Raw genomic sequence first — 20,996 nt, forward strand, 5'->3', positions numbered from 1 at the left:
ATAATTTCCTGACCACCACCACAACTTGTAGCACCACTACCACCACCATTGTCCTTCTCTCCATTTCGCAAATCACCTTTTATTTCTATTCCCTTTCCCATGAATGGTTGCTGCCAAAAAAATCTTTTGTTTCACTGGCAGCAAATGGTGGATAATGATATGAAAATAAATCAAGAAAGAGCTAGAATGTTTTGCATGAAAAAATGAAACAATATTCTCAGAAGGAGAATGAAAATTATTGCAAAGAAGAATAAGCTTTAAATAATTAATTGTGGTCAGAGAAAAGAGATGGATGGGTGAGAAACTTGAAGAAGAGATCTGGACAAAAGTAGGGCAAAAACACAGCTACTAAAGAAAGTAAAACATTTGATTCAATAGGGAAATTAAAAATAGTGAAGGTTATGACCATGGCCAGTATTGGGGATGCATTGTCATTTTCCTGTATTTTCCTTATCTATCTTTTTCTTATGAATTATATGATTTGGTCACAGTGAAGTTCTAGACCAACAATAGATTAAATCAGTCTGGTCTGTGATTTTATAGAAGGCAGATCTTATAATGATAATAAAACAATACAACTAGGGAATAACTTTGGCTCTTAAAGAGAAGAGGGACAAGAGGAGTTGATTGGGACAAGAGAACCATGAGTGACCTCTCTGTCCTGCTAATCCTCTAATGCTTCTTCATGAATTTTTTACTCCAAGCCTGAGGGAAAGAAAATCTAATGTTTTATTTCACTAATATTACTGTATATACTGAGGTCTCCAAATATTAGAGAACACCACAGTTTATAAAATCCAAAGCTCTTTATAATTTGAACTTAACATAATCTATGTTTAGTCAGAGCACACAGTGACTGGAAAATGAAAGAAACAAAATTGACACATTTGGGAGATAACAAAGGTAAAATTATCCATCACACTCTGGACACTTTTTCCAGTACGGAATGTGTTGTTTCCCCTATTGCACAGATGAAAAAAACTGAGGCTTAGGTTGGTTAAGAATAAAGTCTATGGAAAATCAACTGGTAGTTTTGGAGTCTAGATGAGTGAATGAATAGAGGTTTTATTGTCTTGGCTGACAACCAGCTGCTGCACAACGCATTATGACAACCAAGAGAGTAGTCAAAGAGCCAGAAATTATTATTATAGACATTATGAGGTATGTTATATTGTAATATCACTGACTTGTCTGCAGTTGGTTTTTAATTCCTTTTATAATGCCATAGGAAATTTTAGAACAACATTTGAAAGTGTGCTACAAATACAAAAGCTGAAATGCTAAATTGCTGAAGAAAAATCGTCAGTAATTCCCAGGTATTCTTTAAGTTTTCAAAATTGCCCCAGAATCAGTCTCTCTTTAGCTTTGTCTGTTCCGAGAGGATGGATTACACCCTCCATTGAGAGAGTTTCAGTCATTACTGTCTCCAGGACATGATGCAGCAGAAACCCAGCGTTTTCTTTAGAAGCTGTGTTTATTAATTACAACAAAGCACAGGACAGAACTGATGTTCCAGGTTTTGAGAAGTCTCTTAGCACCGCATTTGCCCCATTATCACAGGTAATAAAGCCAGTTTACAGAAAGCAAAAGGCAAATATTCCAGTGAGTCAGAATAAAATAGAAGGACATTTAGTCAGCTCTCAAATTAGCAACTGTTTATTTTTATTTTTTCAGTTTTGCACATAATGCTCTTACTACTGTGTCTTTAAAGGGGAAGTATTTATTTTACATCCTGTTAGTGGGAGTGTAAATTGGTACAGCACTTCTCCAGATCTGTGGGAAACATGAATGAAATGCCTACCAAATGTTTGTATATCTTGACCTAGTAATTCTAATTCTGTTCCTAGCAAATTTATCCTGAGTTGAATATCAGATATTTTAATCAACATGTATGTACAATGGTGTTTATTACATCAATAATTATCATGGTTATAACACTGTAAATAACCCTTACAAAATTAGACATAGAATTTAAGAAAACTATATTTAAAAACTCAGTTATGTGAAAATACTGAATGGCATGAGAAATGAAAATGTAAAATAGAGCTTAAGATAACATATTTGATATATTATACTAAAATGCTGTAGTGTAGTTATAAGCTCTCTGTGTGTGTGCTGTGCTGTGCGTGTGTGTTGTGCTGTGTGTGTGTGTGTACATGTGTGTGTGTGCTGAGTATCCCTCATCTGAAATACTTTGGACAGAAAGTGTTTCAAGTTTTGAATTTTAATAAATTTCAAAATATCTGCATGATACTTGTCAGTTCAGGATCCCTAATCCCAAAATCCAAAATCTGAAATGCTCTAATGATCATTTAATCATTTCCTTTCAGTTTTGTGTCAGAGCTCAAAATATTTCAGATTTTGATTTTGTATTTTCAGATTAGGAATACTCTCCCTCTTTCTCTCTTCCTCCCCCCCATATATATACCCACACACATATATACACACATATATATGTACACACATGAATGTACACACACATGCACATACACATATATATATAAAGATTTTACTATATATAGATATATAGATAGGTTATTTATATATCTAAACACATATTAAGATTATAATATTAATAATCTAATGTTATAGTAAACTTCATTTGGATAAAACTATGTAAAAAAGTAAACAAAAGTAAAGAAATGACCAGAAAATAATATTAGTTATAGTTATTGGTAGTTGAATTTAGAGATGACTTGTATTTCTTTTTTATTTTTTAACTATGGGTATATTTTCTGAAGCAATCAGAAAAAATAGTTTTCCGACTAAAAATAACAATCATAATTACTGTAAAGAAGTTACTCAAGATAATAGGATTTTTTAAAAAATGAAGAAACAGACTAATAGACCAACCAAATAGAATACAGATCCCAGAAGTAAATCCTCACATATGTGGTCAAATAATTTTCAATAAGTGTATCAAGACAATCAAGTTGGGAAAGGACAGTCTTTTAAACAAACTCTCGGGAAAACCGTATATACATAGGCCAAAGAGTAAAATTGGACCCTTACCATACACCACACAAAAAATAAGCCAAAAATGGATCAAAGATTTAAATGCAGGACCTAAAACTATTAAAGTCTTAGAAGAAATCATATGGAAAAACTTGATGACATTAAATTCGCAATGATTCCTTAAAGGTGGTACCAAAAACATGAGCAACAAAAGTTAAAACAGAAAAAAATGAACAACATCAAACTTAAGTCTTCTGGTCATCAAAAGATAACAGTCAATGCAGTAAAAAGGCAACCTACAGAATAAAAGAAAATATTTCCAATTCAAATACTTGACAAAAGGTTAATAACCAGAATATATAAAGAACTCCCACAACTCAACAACAACAACAAAACATATAACTCAATTTAAACATAGGCAAATGACTTGAATAGACATTTCTCCAAGGAAGATATGCAAATAATCAAAAAACATGAAAAGTTGCTCAACATCACTAACCATCAGGGAAATGCAGATCTAAACCACTTTGATATGTCACATCTGAATAGATTCCATTATCATTGGAATGGCTACTGTAACAAACAACAACAAAAAACCCAGAAAATAACAAGTGTTATGGAGATGTGGAGAAATTGGAACCCTAGGGCACTGTTGGTGGGAATGTAAAATGGCACTGCTTCTACGGAAAACATCATGGCAATTCCTCAAAATATTAAAAATAATATTACCACATGATTTAGCAATTCCACTTCCTGGTACATATCCAAAAGACGTGAAAGCAGGATCTCAAATAGATATTTGCACAACCACGTTCACAGCAGCATTATTCACAGTAGCCAAAAGGTGGAAGCAACTCACACGTCCGTCAAAATGAATGAATGGGTAAAATGATGCGGTATACACATTCCATAGAATATTATTCAGCCTTTAAAACAGAAGGATGTTTTGACACCTCTACAACATGAGTGAACCTTAAAGACATTGTGCTAAGTGAAATAAGACAGTCACTGGAAGAAAAATACTGTAGGACTTCACCTACAGATTTCTGGAGTTTTCCAGAGCAGGCAACTCACAGAAACAGAAAGTGATTAAATGGTGGTTGCCAGAAGATGGGAAGAGAGAGAATTGGGGAGTGTTGTTTAATGGGTCTAGAGTTTCAGTTTTGTAAGATGAAACAGTCCTGGAGGTCTGTTGCACAAGAATGTGAATATACTTAACACTGTTAAATCGTGTGCTTAAAGATGGGTGAGATGGCAAATGCTATGTTATATATAATTTACCAGAATTCCAAAAAGAAGAGGAATAAGGGGTGAGTAGGGAGAGCCTCTCTGAGGCAGGAACTTGGGAGCAGAGACCTCAGTTTGAAGATAAAGTCATGAAGAGATCCAGAAGAACTTTCCTGGATGCAAGAACAGAAAGGGAAGGGCTCTGGGATAGGACCAGGTGGGTGTGTTGAATAAGAGATGTCAGTGCTGGAGCATAAGGAAGCAAGAGAGGTAGTAGAGGTGAGGTCAACGAAGGCGTCAAGGTCAAAATTTTCCTATATTGTAGAATATGCAAGGAGGCTGGATTGCATTTTAAAAATAATTTTTAAAAGCAACAGAAGTTTTAAGGAAAATGGTCTAATTTGATAGACTTCTTTGATCTCTTGCTAATGTGAAAAGGGTTTTATGAGAGCAAGCACAGAAACAGAAACTCCAGTGAGGAGCTGTTTTATTATTCAAAGCCAGAGTAAGAGGTGCTCTTGAGTCACTTGGATAAGTCACATCCCCTCTAAGAGAACCCAAATCTGTATTTCTCCTTGAGTGTTGGGAAACCAGGATTTATCCATCTAATAATTCTATGATTCCATACAGGATTGGAGGGGACTATTATATAACACAGGCAGAATGAGGCTTAGGAATGCATTTCACTTAATTGATAGACCTGTCTTGTTTCTGCCCCAGCACACTTATTCTGTATAGAAATTTACATTTGACCATTTTTATTTGGAAAGAATATAAAATCAGTACTCTAAGGAATGTTGTCTTTTCTCATCTTTCTGCATGTGACATAAATTCCATGTAGTTGGGAGGCTTGTGGGATATATCTGAGGGAAGAACTGGGGAGAGAAACTGTATTAGAGACCCTGAAAACAGCAGCAACATAGGGAGTCCTGCTTTTTCTAGTTTTTAGCAAACTCAGTGCAAATATTATTTTAAGGAAAACAGTGCAGGATTTATATTTGGACAAAACTGGTTTGAAAATATAGCTTTGTCACTTAGGAGTCAGTTAGTTTTCAGAAATCTCCAATAAAGTATATCAGGGCTGTTTTGGATTTCATATCCCAGCTTTAATAATCCTTTATTTCTTCACTGTGTGTACAGCAAGCCTTGTACTTCATTAGTAGCTACACGACATTGATGAAGCACACGGATGTTGAAGGCATTCAGAATATGTCTAATCCTAGCTGTGTTGTTTTCGAACTTTGTGAATTTTTTGGAACTAGCTGAGCCTTAGTTTTCTCACCTAAAAACAAATTAATGGTGCTTGCACTTCACATAGTGGTTCTTACCATTTCCCCCCTCCCCATTGTTTCTGTTTATGGATGGATAGAAGCATAGGTCTCAGTTTGTGCATATAAAATGATGGTAGGAGGTTCGCAAGGGTTTTCAAATATTCAGTTTTCAATTGTCTCAAAGATAAGGAACCAGAAAAAAAGAAAATCTTCAAAAGACTCACCAGGGAGGTCATCCCTGGAATGAATTTGGGATGGGTATCCAGGAGACAGGATTATAATGTTGATTCTGTCATTAGCTGGTTCAATCTTGATGACCTCAAAGATGGTCAGTTCCCTTACATTGGCCTTAGTCCCTCCATCATGAACTAACCTTGGAAACCATAGACCCAGCTGGAAGGATTTAGATAAAAATAAATGTGTATCTTATTCTATCAGACTTCCTTCCACTCATCTCTTTTCATCACAGATTCTGTTGCTTTAGAGAAAAGCCAGAGAATCAGTCTTCCGCCACACACCCCTCTCACTCTCTCCTTAGGATACTCAATGGGTAACTAGGTTTGGGAACTGCTGGACTTGATGCTCACTCACATAAACCTTGCTTGTATCAGGCTCTACAATTCGGCAACCAATTTAATGGTCTCCTCTGATACTTTGAAGATGCCCTCTGTTTAACTCTTTAGGTTGCAACTGACAATTAATCAATTGTTTTACTTATCTGGGCTTTTTGAAATAATCAACAGGGAGAGTGACAGCCATTTTCACTGTGAGGCCTCAAAGAAAAGAAAAGATTAAACAAACCACATGTGTATCATACAGACTGGAACTTGTTTCTGAAATAAATTCTTTGGGATAAAATGCAGCCCTATTGATTAAGTGTATCCATTAAGCATTAGAAATGGTTTTTAACTTCAAGGAACTGGTAGCTTAAATAGGAGCCTATAGCTTTTACAACATGCATTCTGCAGTGCTAGCAGCTATTGTTAGTTCTGCAACCCAGTGATGTCAGGATCAGCATTTCTGCAAGATATTTGAAATTTTCCTCACTCTAGTTGGCTCAAGATAAAACAGAAGGATGATGTGTTGCCAAGTATTACATCCACATTTTATATAGGATGAAGGGACAGGGTGAATGATATTCTTTTCAAAAAATTTTCTCTTTTTAAAAAATACCTATTTCTCTTAGGAAACACGATTTCTACTCAGAAGATCTCATGTTTCAATACTTCATGCATTTTTTTATTTTAGTTATGCTCTCTTTTCATTGCAGTAAGATATACACAATTTTTTTTTATTTACTAAAAATATTGGGAACTATGTCTTAGTGTGGCAAAGGTACTTAGCAAATATTCTGTCTGAGGCTTTCCATGTCTACTCCCTCATTCAATTAGGCAGGAGCATATAGCTATGTTATGGACAGGATAATGCCAACAGGAGTTGCCAGATGAGACTTCCAGGGAAGCTCCTTAAAATGCAGTGCTTTATTTGTCTTTATTTTATTTTGTTTATTTTAATTAAACACATTATTTTCCTCTAAAAACTGAAGGACCATTAATTTAAAAAAAGAAGAATAAATATTTTAGTTGTCTTTACTACAACATAATAAGTGCAAGCAGTTTGGAGACAGAATTGAAAGCCATTCCCCAAATGACTTCAAAATTATTAATTTAAGATATAGTGTGGTGTGGTAAATAGAGTCTTAGGGTTAGTTAGGCATGAGTTAAAAATTGACAAGTGTTGAATTATGTGATATACTAGAGATATTGTGTTTTTATTTGTTTCAGCGAAAGACTATAAAGTCAATATGATTTATCCTCAATAAGAGAAAACTATGGCTCAGTGAAATTAAGTAATGGGTCTATGCTGCTCACCCATGAACTCCACTTTGTGTACCAAGGTTTTATAGGTATTCATTGAATATTCATTTCTTTTTTTGTGTGGGTATGTAGTAACATTTTATTGTGATTTTAATTTGCATTTTTTTATACTTTAAGTTTTAGGGTACATGTGCACAAGTGCAGGTTAGTTACATATGTACACATGTGCCATGTTGGTGTGCTGCACCCATTAACTTGTCATTTAACATTAGTTATATCGCCTATGCTATCCCTCCCCCTTCCCCCCGTCCCACAATAGGCCCCGGTGTGTGATGTTCCCCTTCCTGTGTCCATGTGTTCTCCTTGTTCAATTCCCACCTATGAGTGAGAACATGCGGTTTTGGTTTTTTGTCCTTGTGATAGTTTACTGAGAATGATGGTTTCCAGCTTCATCCATGTCCCTACAAAGGACATGAGCTCATCATTTTTTATGGCTGCATAGTATTCCATGGTGTATATGTGCCACATTTTCTTAATCCAGTCTATCATTCATGGACATTTGGGTTGGTTCCAAGTCTTTGCTATTGTGAATAATGCCGCAATAAACATATGTGTGCATGTGTCTTTATAGCAGCATGATTTATAGTCCTTTGGGTATATACCCAGTAATGGGATGGCTGGGTCAAATGGTATTTCTAGTTCTAGATCCCTGAGGAATCGCCACACTGACTTCCACAATGGTTGAACTAGTTTCCAGTCCCACCAACAGTGTAAAAGTGTTCCTATTTCTCCACATCCTCTCCAGCACCTGTTGTTTCCTGACTTTTTAATGATTGCCTTTCTAACTGGTGTGAGATGATATCTCATTGTGGTTTTGATTTGCATTTCTCTGATGGCCAGTGATGATGAGCATTTTTTCATGCGTCTTTTGGCTGCATAAATGTCTTCTTTTGAGAAGTGTCTGTTCATATCCTTTGCCCACTTTTTGATGGTGTTGTTTGTTTTTTTCTTGTAAACTCAAAACCACTCAACTACATGGAAACTGAACAACCTGCTCCTGAATGACTACTGGGTACATAACGAAATGAAGGCAGAAATAAAGATGTTCTTTGAAACCAACGAGAGCAAAGACACAACATACCAGAATCTCTGGGATACATTCAAAGCAGTGTGTAGAGGGAAATTTATAGCACTAAATGCCCACAAGAGAAAGCAGGAAAGATCTAAAATTGACACCCTATCATCACAAGTAAAAGAACTAGAGAAGCAAAAGCAAACACATTCAAAAGCTAACAGAAGGCAAGAAATAACTAAGATCAGAGCAGAACTGAATGAATATTAATTTCTATCACTTTTTTCAGGTTTGAATTTCACCCAGTACCTGGCTCAAAATAATGTTCAATATATATGTTTTATGATCACAAAGCAAAATAGTCAACAGATTCTACTTTTGTAATGTACGTAAATGTAGACGATTAATCATTAATCAATCTGGATAGTGTAAAGGACACTTCCCAAACTCCGACCGCATTAAGCAATCTCAATTTTGTTCCCCAGCAGTTGATATACTTTATTTCCATCTACAGAAATCTGCACTGCTCTATTGTGAGGATCTAGTATGGCGTAAAGATGCATTAGGGATTCTGTTCCCTGTCTCTTTAAGAGAACACAGATGAAGACTTAAACCCAGAAAGTTTTTAACAACTTTTTTTTGTCCTCTCAACATTTGTTGTTTACAGTTGCCTCATAGACCAAGTTGATGGGAAAAAATAAGAAACTAAAAATAAGCGAGGTCTTTCATTCGCAGGGGTAATGCAGTTACATAAGTCAAAGTGGCAGGTCATATGAAGCCCTCTGTGATTCCTTGGGGTTTCTGTCTCATTTCACTGGCTAGCAACCAGTGAAACAGTAGGATATATATTTTTCTATTAGGTTGTCAATATTTTGACCAAACAACCTATTTATAACATTCAGGATTACTGTTCTGTTCGTGAGAACCACTAGAAGTTGCTGTGTGCAGAAAGTCAGCTTGAGATTTGAAACAGCATGATTAAGTAGGGTATACTAACTTGCTTCCCAGGTTTCATCTGCTTGTCAGTCATGTAAGTATAATACACTCATCATTGTGGCCAATTATCAGAAATCACCATTAAATAACTTATTTATGTAACCAGACACCACCAGTTCCCCCAAAACTATTGAAATAATAATAATAAATTAGCTATTTATTTAATAAAGGCAGTGACACGTAGTAATTAAGCAGGCTTTAAGGTTAGACTACCTCTGTTCTAAGTACCACCTGGGGCATCAGTACCATCGGTACTTTCATAACCTTTGCAAATTGCTTTTCTTTTCTTCGCTTCGGTTTTTGTATCTATAAAATGAGGAAAACAGTAATGTCTGTTGCACACAGTTGTGAGGATTAAAAAACTTATTGCATGTAAATCACTCAGACAATGCAAGGCAGACATTGCAGCCTCAACCTCCTGGGTTCAAGCAAACATCCCACCTCAATGCAAGGCATTGTCTGACCCCAATAAATACTAGTTATTATTAAAAAATATATTATACCTACTATTACTAATGTTAATAAGTAATAAGAATAAGATAAGATAAAAATTTAAGATTCTGAGTTTACTTGGAGGTAAACTCAGTGGAGAGAGAATTGGCTTATCGACTACTCTTTTTTTTTCCCCAAAATACTATTTAGCCTCATGACCATAGCTTTCCTGTGGTGGACTTAGGGATACTGAAGACTTGCTAGTTATGATTGATGTTGAAGGTCAATAATCTCTCCTGTTACAATTACAGAGAAAGGCATGTGTGTGTGTGTGTGTGTGTGGGTGTGTGTGTGTCTGTGTGTGTGTATGCATACATGCATACCTATAAATTATAATTGCCTGCCAATATTAAAGCTCTAATGGGCTTAAAACACCAGGCAGTGATTAAACACTGAATAAGAATATAAGGGGGTAAAACAAAGGGAGAAAGAAAATCATTGTTTTATAGATATATAATACAAGAAAACTTTTTTTATTATAGAAATTTTGTCTATCAAAAATCATCTTTTCAATTAATAAAAGGTGATTCTCAGCCTTTTAATATTTCTTTAGGTTTTCCTGAGATCCCAATGGGCGCAATTATATCCAAAAGTGTAATTATCCAGTGTGATGAAATTGCATTTGTTCTAACAGGGCTGTGTTTATAACAATTCCCCATCTGAGAAAGAGAGATACTCAGTGTCAATAATCAATTGACCCAAATTATGGAGAGACTTTTGGAAAGCATACACATATGAAAGAAAACAGAAGAAATTTCAAAAGTGTCCCAAGGAATCTTGTTGGATTGTGTAGCATACATTATTAGAGATGCAAAATAGAGATATTTGTATACTTTGGCTGTTTAAAATATAAATAGAATACCTTGGGAGAAATTTGCTCAGAAGCAAAATTTAAAATGTCAAAGTGACACAAAACGGTATAAGGTCACAAGAAACTTTAAAAAGACATTTCCTTTTTTCTTTAATTATCTTTTTTTTTTCTTGCTGCTTTTAAAAATAATGTATAGTACATCTGGCACACTGACTATAGGCCACTGACATGGCTCCCACTCTCTAGCCCTTACTCCTTCTTGAATATAACTGAATTGCCCACAAAAGCACAGATCACACTCAAACTGTCTAAACATCTGCTAGAATCATTGGAACACCACTGATTAAATTTCAACAATCCACCTGCTCCTCCAACTCAACTTTCCTGGTACTTCAATGCCTCTTCTTCACTTTGAGCTCTTTGTGCCCTATCCCTCCCACATACATACTTTAGTTGTTCATCATAGAAACCAACCCTGATGAACTTTTACAAGTAGAAGACATGCATTGAACAGGTAGGCCATCTGAAAGAAGACACCGGCTAACTGAAGGAATCTTAGTCTATGAGTTTCTGCTGCTCTCAAAACCATCGAAGAGTTATTTTTAATTGCTTTCTGCAACTGTGTGTCTCCCTCCAAATCTATAGTTTTAAGAAAAAAACACGTAATTAGCCTTATTGGTATTACAGGCCTACACAGAGCCAGTAATACCAATTGTAATTCCCATTGAGTGGGAAAACAGGTAGTAATGCCTATCCACCCAATAAGACATATTAGGCAAATGAAGCCAACATTACCCAGTGTTCATTACAAATTATTCATCTGGTTCTCTTCATTGATAAATCTACACATGGGCATACTTTTAGGATATACTTAGCTTCATACTTCAGTAATTCTACCAAGACTGAAATATTTACTATTTACTAGTCATTATTAACCCTTGAATTCCCAGTGCTTAGCAGATAGTCAAATTTTCTGCTCTCAAAGCATATATTCTAGTGAAATGAAATTCCACTCATCAAAAATTATCTTATTTGCTTAGGTAATATTATATGTATGATATGAATAAGATCAAATGAGCAAACGAACAAAGGGATAGAGAGGAATAACTTTATAAAAGGTTGTCAGAGAAGACCTCTCTCATGAGATGAAATTTACTCCCAGTTCTGGATGATAAGTGGGACCAGGTCCTGTGGATTATTCAAGGAAAAAGAAAATATTGCAAGGCCATAATCGGGGTCAAATGTTCTGTGATGAGGATGGGCTTGGTCTATTTGAGGAGTCAACATGGTTGGACCATTGTGAAACAAAGGCAACAATGTAGGATACAAAGTTGAAGAGAACGGGGGGTGATCTATGCTCTGCCAAGTTATAGAGCAGGATTTATGCCAAGTGCAAATGGAAGTCACTAGAGGCTTTTAAGAGGGTGGCACAATTTGTTTTATGCTTTAAAAAATTCACTCTGGATTCTACAGAACAGAGATAATTGGAAGGTAAGGACAAAGACAGAGATCTGATGAGAAATGATGATGTGAAGGCGGTGAGATGTGGTTAGTTTTAAAACATATTTTAGGAGTAACATACTCTGTGTAAATGTTGGAGATACAGCTACAAATAAATCAGATATAGCCCTTGCCCTTATAGCATTTTTAGGTATGTGGATAAGAAAGAAACTGAACGTTGCACCATGAGTACAAGGAGAACCTTCATTGAGAGATGTTCAGGAGCATCTGGGGTGGATGTTGGGGAAATAGTGATGGGTGGAGTAGGGTATGTGAAACTGCTTTATTCATATATTCTAACTATGGATTCACAATAAAAGCCTACCTATTCCTCTCCCCTCTCCAATGGACTGTGTCAGCCTTCTTGTGGTCCTAATTCAAAGCTAAAGGAATCATACTACATATGTCAATAGTTTGTGAATTTTCCATTCATGGAATGCTTTATTGGAAAAAAAGTCAGAACAAAATGTACTTTTCATTAAAATAGCATGATTAATTGACTATATATAGGATAAAATACTGCCAAGTTGTATTAAAATTTCTATAAAACGTGTTGGCTCAAATTTGAAATATTCACTAAACATACAATTAATATGTGGGAAGAAGGCACAGATTAGGAGGGAAGAATAGTTTATGTGCCATGCCAGTGGCAAAATATAAGTTGGTGATTAAAATCATAATTAACTGGTCAGGTGCAGGGGGGCTTATGCCTGTAATTCTAGCATTTTGGAAGGTTGAAGCAGACAGATCACTTGAGCTCAGGAGTTTCAAGACTTGGGCAACATGACAAGACCCTGTCTCTCCAAAGGAAAAGAAAAAAAAAAAAAACCTAGCTGGGCGTGGTGTCACGTGACTGTAATCCCAGCTACCTGAGGGCCTGAGGTGGGATGATCACTTGAGTCCAGGAGGTTGAGGCTGCAATGAGCTGTGACAGATTGTGCCACTGTGTCAGCCTGGGTGACCAAATGAGACCCTATTTCAAAAAGAAACAAAAAAACAAACCTCATAATTCCAAAAGTTAATCAGAACCTCATAATTCCAAAAGTTAATCAGATTTCCAAAAGAAATCAGAACCTAGATTTGTGACTTCCAGCTTCATGACCCTTGGGCAAATTATTTAATCTTTCTCAATTTGTTTTCTCTTTTGTAAAATTAAAAATGGTGCCTACATCATAAATGGTATAAGGACTAAATTTGATAATTTAGAGTGAGTGTACGTGTTGGTTTTCAATACATTTTAGCTATTGTTATTATCACCATTCTCTAACTGGCAGACACTGATGAAGAAGAAGCCCAGCAGAATGGCTGAGAACACAAATTCTGGAACAAATGGCCTGGGTTGACTACTGGTTCCACCACTTCTATATCACAGATTTTTTCTCTCTTTTAAAACTGCAAAACAACTTTTGGGCAAAAGCTTTTATTCACCTCAACTCCCCCTTATTTTCCAATTTCTAAATCCTTTATTACTCTTGCTTTTCATAATATATCAGTGTGGTAATACTTGCTGGCTTTTTTTGCTTCTCCTACTGATTTTCAAGGTATTTCCTGGTATGTGTATCTTTAATGCTTAGCATAGTATCTTTAGCATGCTCAATAAGTGTTTGTCAAATGAATTGAATAACAAATAAATAAAAGTATTATGTATAGAACAGCAAGAAACCTCCAACGTAATGTGCTATCAGCATTATTCCAATAACCTCGGTCTGCAATCTTCTCACTCTTTGCCTTCTTCTCCATCCCCATTTTCTGCTTCTGTTATGCTTTGGCTTGAAGAAACAAAAGGCTGACCTTGCATGACATTGTGAAAATAACTTAAGTCCAAAATTTCACTAAATCCTTCCCACATCACCATCTTCCACCTTGGCCAAATCAGCTATATTTCTTTGTATATGTAGACCCTCTGCACCTCTGTCCCTCAGCAGCAATCCCATTTCCTTGCGGCTTAACATGGTTTTAGAATGTTCAAGTAGAATAGGAAGAATCTCTACGAACTAGGGATTTGAAGTTGATGTTTCAGCAAAGTACAGAAGTTCAAATCCTGCCTCCATAAATGCAATTCTGTTGTCCAGAGCATAACAATTCCTTTTAGCATTGCATTCTGTTTTTGATGATTTATGGGACCTTTGTTATTTTCTTTGCCTCCATTCCTCCCCAGAGTCACTTCCCTGCTCCTCTCTTGGATGGCATAAATGAGAAAATTTGAAATGTGTTGCTACACAAAATATAAAAACAAAACAAAGTGGCATAGCTGAGTCTGTGAAACCCATTTAATCTAATCCTTACATGTTTATAGGACAGGAAATTGAGATTCCAAAGGGAAATTGACTTGGGCATGGCCAAATGGGAAGCAGGAGCAGCAATCATTGAAATCCGACGGTTGACCAAGCAAATTAGGTCCCTTTGGGCCGTATGAACAGATAACCGTCAAAAATCACACCACCTTTTTGCTTGACTTTGCCTAAAGCTGAATAAATAGATAAATCTCAGTTAAAATAAATATATAAATATTAATTGAACTCAGACTAAGTATTTACGAACTACCTCCAAAAGAAAATACCACTGAAGCACACAAGCTTCGTCACAAACACAAGCCTCCTATCTCCTATCGTTTAGAGTGTTCGACTGTTTAAAAAATATTGTTTCTTCAAAAGAAATGTTCATTTGCTTCTATGACTCTCGCTCTTTCTCAAAGACAAAGAAAATGCATAGTCCACCCATAAAAAATTATAACATTTCTATAGTCTTTAAAATTTTTATATGTACTTCTATACACACATTTATACATATATGTTTATATTGAATTTTAAGCAAAACTTTTCCATCTATCTTAACACAACAAGAAGAACCACTGTTCAATATTCTTGAGCACTACCAAAGGCCATGCATTCAGCTAAATATTTTATAATCATTTTAATAAATCCTCAGAGAAGCCATCTCAGGTATTATTATTATGCATAATTTCAAATTTGAATATATACAAAAATAAAAACATCTCAACTCAAATGATTCAAGAAATATTCACAATATCACATACTTACTGAGTGGCCTAAGAGGAACTTGAACCTATTTCTGTTTGTTATTTTTGTGCTTTTAACCATCATGCAATATTTTTTTTTCCTTCTAAACTTTCGTTTCTCTCTGTCTTTTCCACAATGCATTATTCCTCAGTCATGTTCATAGCCTCTCCCAGGATGAGCAGGTATCTTTGGTATTAGAGAGTCTTTATTCTCCTTCAAATTTTAGGCTTGGACAATAAGAGTAATTGGGCTTGTGGTGTTACTGATTAAAACCTCTCACTTGTTCCCCATCCTTATCATCAGGGAATGAAACCTTAAACTTCAAGATGTCCAGAATGTTCCATTTAAGTTCCAGACCTAAAATGCCAGTTTTTTTGTTTGCTTGTGTGTTTGTTTCTTTTTTCTCACAAAGGGAGCTCATACGGTTGACTTGGTCTCCCTTGTACTTCCACATATCTTGTCAAAGAAGACAGATATGTTTTTTTTTTTTCGTGGGGTCCAGGGTTCTTAAGTTTAAGATCTGGATCTCCTTACAGACTGTGGCACCTTGGCCATAAGCATCAATATTCTCTCATTCATAAAACTGAGAGGATAACCTGTGTGACACTGTATTATTATAAGAGTTGCAAAGCATGTTCATATAAGCTGTTTATTCAAGATATAAATTAGAGTACATATAAGGGAATCTTTTGATTTTCACATCATTTTACAAGTCTACATGATGCTTTACTTTATATCTGGTGTGGAGATAATATAGCCAACTGTCTTGATTTACCCAGAACTGAGGGTATTTGTAGGACATGGAACATTCAGTGCTAAACTAGAACAGGCCCAAGAAAGTGGGGGCAAGATGGTCACTCTATCTGGACCTTAGGGACATGACAGCTGTATAGCTACTCCAGTTCCTACAGTCTTAAACATTTAATCTTAGTATACCCAGCTCATATGTGGCACCAGAGGACCCTGTGCTTATCTTATCAGAGTGTGTCCAGAAGTATCAATCACTTCCCTATCACAGTCTAACATGAAAACATTTTACTTGGTCTTTGCTTTGGGTGAATCTAAGTACAATTCACTACTCACCTATCACTAGCATTCTTAAAAGTGGCAAAAAGATTGTGGCCTTTCTACCAAAATTTTCAAATGAATTCTTATAGACTCTTTGAACGATGTATATTTTAAAGGATTTAGAATAGCTGTTTTCTCCCTTAATAAAATTTTTAAAAGAAATGAGAGGGAAGCAGAGCTAAAATCATAAACTAAATACCAAAGAAGCTTTTATGTCCTGTTCCAGGTACTGACAGATATCAGTGTAAAAACTAAAATTCTTTGAAGATTGACAAAATGTATACTTTTGGAAATCCCAGGCTAATAAAGACTTTGTGAATTCATCTTAGAGCTGAATAATAATCAGGATCATACAATATTTTTTGTAAAACACTAATTTTCCATTTTCAAATGATAATTTTCCAAACTTACTCTACTCTGCATCATTACATTGTCAAGAGGCAACTTTTCTTTATTATATTTGAAACACTTAGAATTAGTAATTGCGCATCCATTATTCTCTTCGGTGACATATTAGCTCTCTTTTCTCTTTTACCTTATTCAGTTATTTGGTTTAAAAAATAATACCTAGAATATATTCCACATCTAAACTATAAAAAAAGATGTCAGTTTCAGGGAATCTTATAATTGAAGAAGTGTATGTTTTGGGACAGATATTATACAATAGGAAATCTTTCTTAAGGTCATTAATAATCAATTGTCATATAGCATGATGGTTGGAAAGAGAAGAGAAATAAAGGTCAAATGCAATTTAAGAAAACGATGTATATATACAGGCTAGTACCATACTGTTTTAACTAATGTAGGTTTTTTTTCCCTACATGTGCATCGATGGAGGAGTGGATAAAGAAAATGTGATATTTACATACAATGGAATATTTTTTTCAGCCTTTAAAAAGAAAGAAATTCTCATTTATGTGACAATGTAGATGGATCTTGTGGATATTATGCTAAGTGAATTAAGTCAGTCACAGAAGGAAAATACCACATGATTTCACTTACGCAACATATCTAAAACAGTGAAACCCTTAGTCTTAGAGAATGGAATTGTGATTGTCAGAGATTATGGGGGAGGAGCAAATGTGGAATCAGTAATCAGTAAGTATAAAGTTTCAGCTAAGGATGATGAATAAGTTCTAGAGATCTACTAAACAACATTTTGCCTATAGTTCAGAATACTGTATTAGTACACTTAAAAATTTAAGAGGGTAGATTTCATGTAAGGTGTTTGTACAGCAATAATAAGAATAAAAATTTAAAAGGAAATTTATTGACACTGCTGAAAAAAAGAAGGATGAAAGCAAGAAAGGAGAAAAAGAGAAAGAGAAAGAGAGAAAAGAAAGAAAGAGAAAGAAAGAAAAAAGAAAGAGAAAGAAAGAAAAAAGAAAGAAAGAGAAAGAAAGAAAAAAGAAAGAAAGAAAGGAAGGAAGGAAGGAAGGAAGGAAGGAAAGAAAGAAAGAAAGAAAGAAAGAAAGAAAGAAAGAAAGAAAGAAAGAAAGAAACAGAGAAAGAGAAAGAGAGGAGAGGGAGGGGGAGGAGAGGAGAGGGAGAAAAGAAAGAGAAGAAAACAGAAGTGGCAAACAACAAAAGAATAGGAAGAGAGGCAAGGAAAAGGGATTGAAGATGTAAGACATGGAAGATGAGTTGTATATTTTCTTTTTTCCATCTTTTATTTTAGATTCAGTGGGTACATGTACAGGTTTATTACTTGGGTATATTGCATGATGCTGAGGTTTGGGGTACAAATGATCCCACCACCCAGGAAGTGAGCATAGAATCCAACAGTTTTTAATCCTTGCCTCACTCTCTCCCTTCTACCTTCAGTAGTCCTCAGTTTCTATCATTCACATCTTTATGTCCATGAGTACCAAATGTTTAGCTCACACTTGTAAGTGAGACTATGCAGTATCTTCTGGCATTAATTAATTAGGAAACGGGTCTTCACCTCCATCCTTTTGGGGCAAAGAATCTGATATTTTCGTTTTTATGACTGCATAGTATTCTATGATGTATATGTACCACATTGTCTCTCCAATCCACCGTTGATGGGCAACTAGATTTATTCAATGTCTTTGTTATTGTGAATAGCACTACAAAGAACATTCAAGTACATGTGTCTTATTGGTAGAAAAATGTGTTTTCATTTGTACATATACCCAATAATGAGATTACTGAGATGGACAGTAGTTCTGTTTTAAGTTATTTGAGAAATCTCCATGCTGCTTGGCTGAACTAATTTACATTCCTACTGACAGTGTATAGGTATTCCCTTTTCTCTGCAGCCTTGCTAGCAACTGTTGTTTTTTGACTTTTGAATAACAGTCCTTCTGACTGTTGTGATATGGTATCTGATAGTGGTTTTCATTTGCTTTTATCTGATTATTGGCGTGGAACATTTTTTCATGTTTATTGAAACTTGTATGTCTTCTTTAGAGAAGTGTCTGTTCATGTCTTTTGGCCATTTTTTTAATGGGTTGTTTGTATTTTCTTGTTCAATTGTTTAAGTTCCTTATAGATTCTGGAAATTAGGCCTTTGTCAGATGCATAGTTTATGAATATTTTCTCCCATTCTGTAGGTTGTCTGTTTACTTTGCTGATAGTTTCTCTTTTTTGTTGTTTTTGTTTGTTTGTTTTTTGAGACATAGTTTTACTCTATTGCCCAGGCTGGAGTGCAGTGGTGCGATCTAGGTTACTGTAACCTCCACCTCCCGGATTCAAGCGATTCTCATGCCTCAGCCTCTCAAGTAGCTAGGATTACAGGTGTGTACATCTATGCCTCGCTAATGTTTGTATTTTTTGTAGATAAGGGGTTTCACCACTTTGGCGAGGCTAATCGCCAACTCCTGGCGTCAAGTGATCCACCTGCCTCAGCCTCCCAAAGTGTTGGGATTACAGGGGTGAGCCACTGCGCCCAATCTGATAGTTTCTTTTGCTGTGCAGAAGCTTTTTAGTATAATTAGGTCCCACTTTTCAATTTTTGTTTTTGTTGCAATTGCTTTTGAGGACTTAGTCATAAATTCTTTCCAAAGGCCAATGTCCAGAATAGTGTTTCCTGGATTTTTGTCCAAGATTCTTATATCTCGATGTCTTATATTTAAATATTTAATACGTCTTCAGTTAATTTTTATATATGGCAAAAAGTAGGGGTCCAGTTTTATTCTGCATATGGCTAGCCAGCTATCTCCAACATTTATTAAATAGAGAGTCCTTTCTGCTTTGCTTAGTTGTGTTGACTTTGTCGAAGATCAGATCGCTATAGAAGTATGCCTTTATTTCTGGGTTTTCTATTCTGCTTCATTGGTCTATATGTCTGTTTTTGTGCCAGTACCATGCAGTTCTAGTTACCGAAGCCTTATAGTTTGAAGGCCAGTATAGTTTGAAGTAAGGGAATGTGATGCTACCAGCTTTGTTCTTTTTGCTTAGGATTGTTTTGGTTATTTGGGCTCTTTTTTGATCCCATAGGAACTTTAGAATAGTTTTTTCTAGTTCAGTGAAAAATGACATCGGTAGCTTTAAAGAAATACATTGAATCTGTAGATTGCCTTGAGCAGTATAACCATTTTAATGATATTGCATAGATGATATAGACCAATGAAAAAGGAATAGAGAGTCTAGATATAAAGCTGCATACCCACACCCATCTGATCTTTGACAAAGCCAACAAATACAAGCAAAGAGAAAAGGGCTCGTTAGTCAGTAAATAGTGCTGGGATAACTGGCTAGCCATATGCTGAAGATTGAAACTGGACCCATTCCTTACTTCCTTACACCATATACAAACATCAACTCAAGATAAATTAAAGATGTAAATGTAAATCCTAAAACTATAAAAACCCAGGAATATAACCTAGGTAATACCATTCTGGACATAGGACCTGGCAAAGATTTCATGATTAAGATGCAAACATCAAGTGCAACAAAAATAAAAATTGACAAATGGGACTAAAACTAAAGAGCTTCTGCAAAACAAAAGAAACTATCAACACAGTAGACAGACAACCTACAAAATGGGAGAATATATTTGCAAACTATGTATATGACAAAGGCCTAATATCCAGAATCTATAAGGAACTTAAACAAATTTACCAGAAATAAACAAACAACCCCATTAAAAAGAAAGAAAAGGACAAGAGCAGACACTTTTTAAAAGAAGAGATATACATGGCCAACAAGCATATGAGAAAATGCTCAACATCACTAATCATTAGAGAAACGGAAATCAAAACCACAATGAGATACCATCTCACACCAGTCAGAATGGCTACTATTAAGTAGTCAGAAAATAACAGATGCTGGTGAGGTTGCAGAGAAAAGGGAACATTTATACACTGCTGATGGGAATGTAAATTAATTTTGCCATTGTGGAAAGCAGTCTGGCAATTTCTCAAAGAACTCAAAGCAGAATTACCACTCAACTCAGCAATTTCATCATTGGATATATATACCCAAAGTAATATAAATTGTTCTACCATAATAATGCATGCACTCACATGTTCATTGCAACACTATTCACAATAGCAAAGACATGGAATTAACCTAGATGCCCATCAATGGTAGACTGGATAAAGAGAATGTGGTACATACACACTGTGGAATACTGTGCAGCCATAACAAAACAACAAGATCATGTCATTTGCAGCAACCTGGATGGAGCTGGAGGTCATTATCCTAAGTAAAGTAATGCAGAAACAGAAAACCAAATACCACATGTTCTTATTTATAAGTGGGAACTAATGGACACAAAGAAGAAAACAACAGACACCGTGT

Source organism: Homo sapiens, chromosome 16 (genome assembly GCF_000001405.40).
Source record: "Homo sapiens chromosome 16, GRCh38.p14 Primary Assembly".
Taxonomy (NCBI): Eukaryota; Metazoa; Chordata; class Mammalia; order Primates; family Hominidae; genus Homo; species Homo sapiens.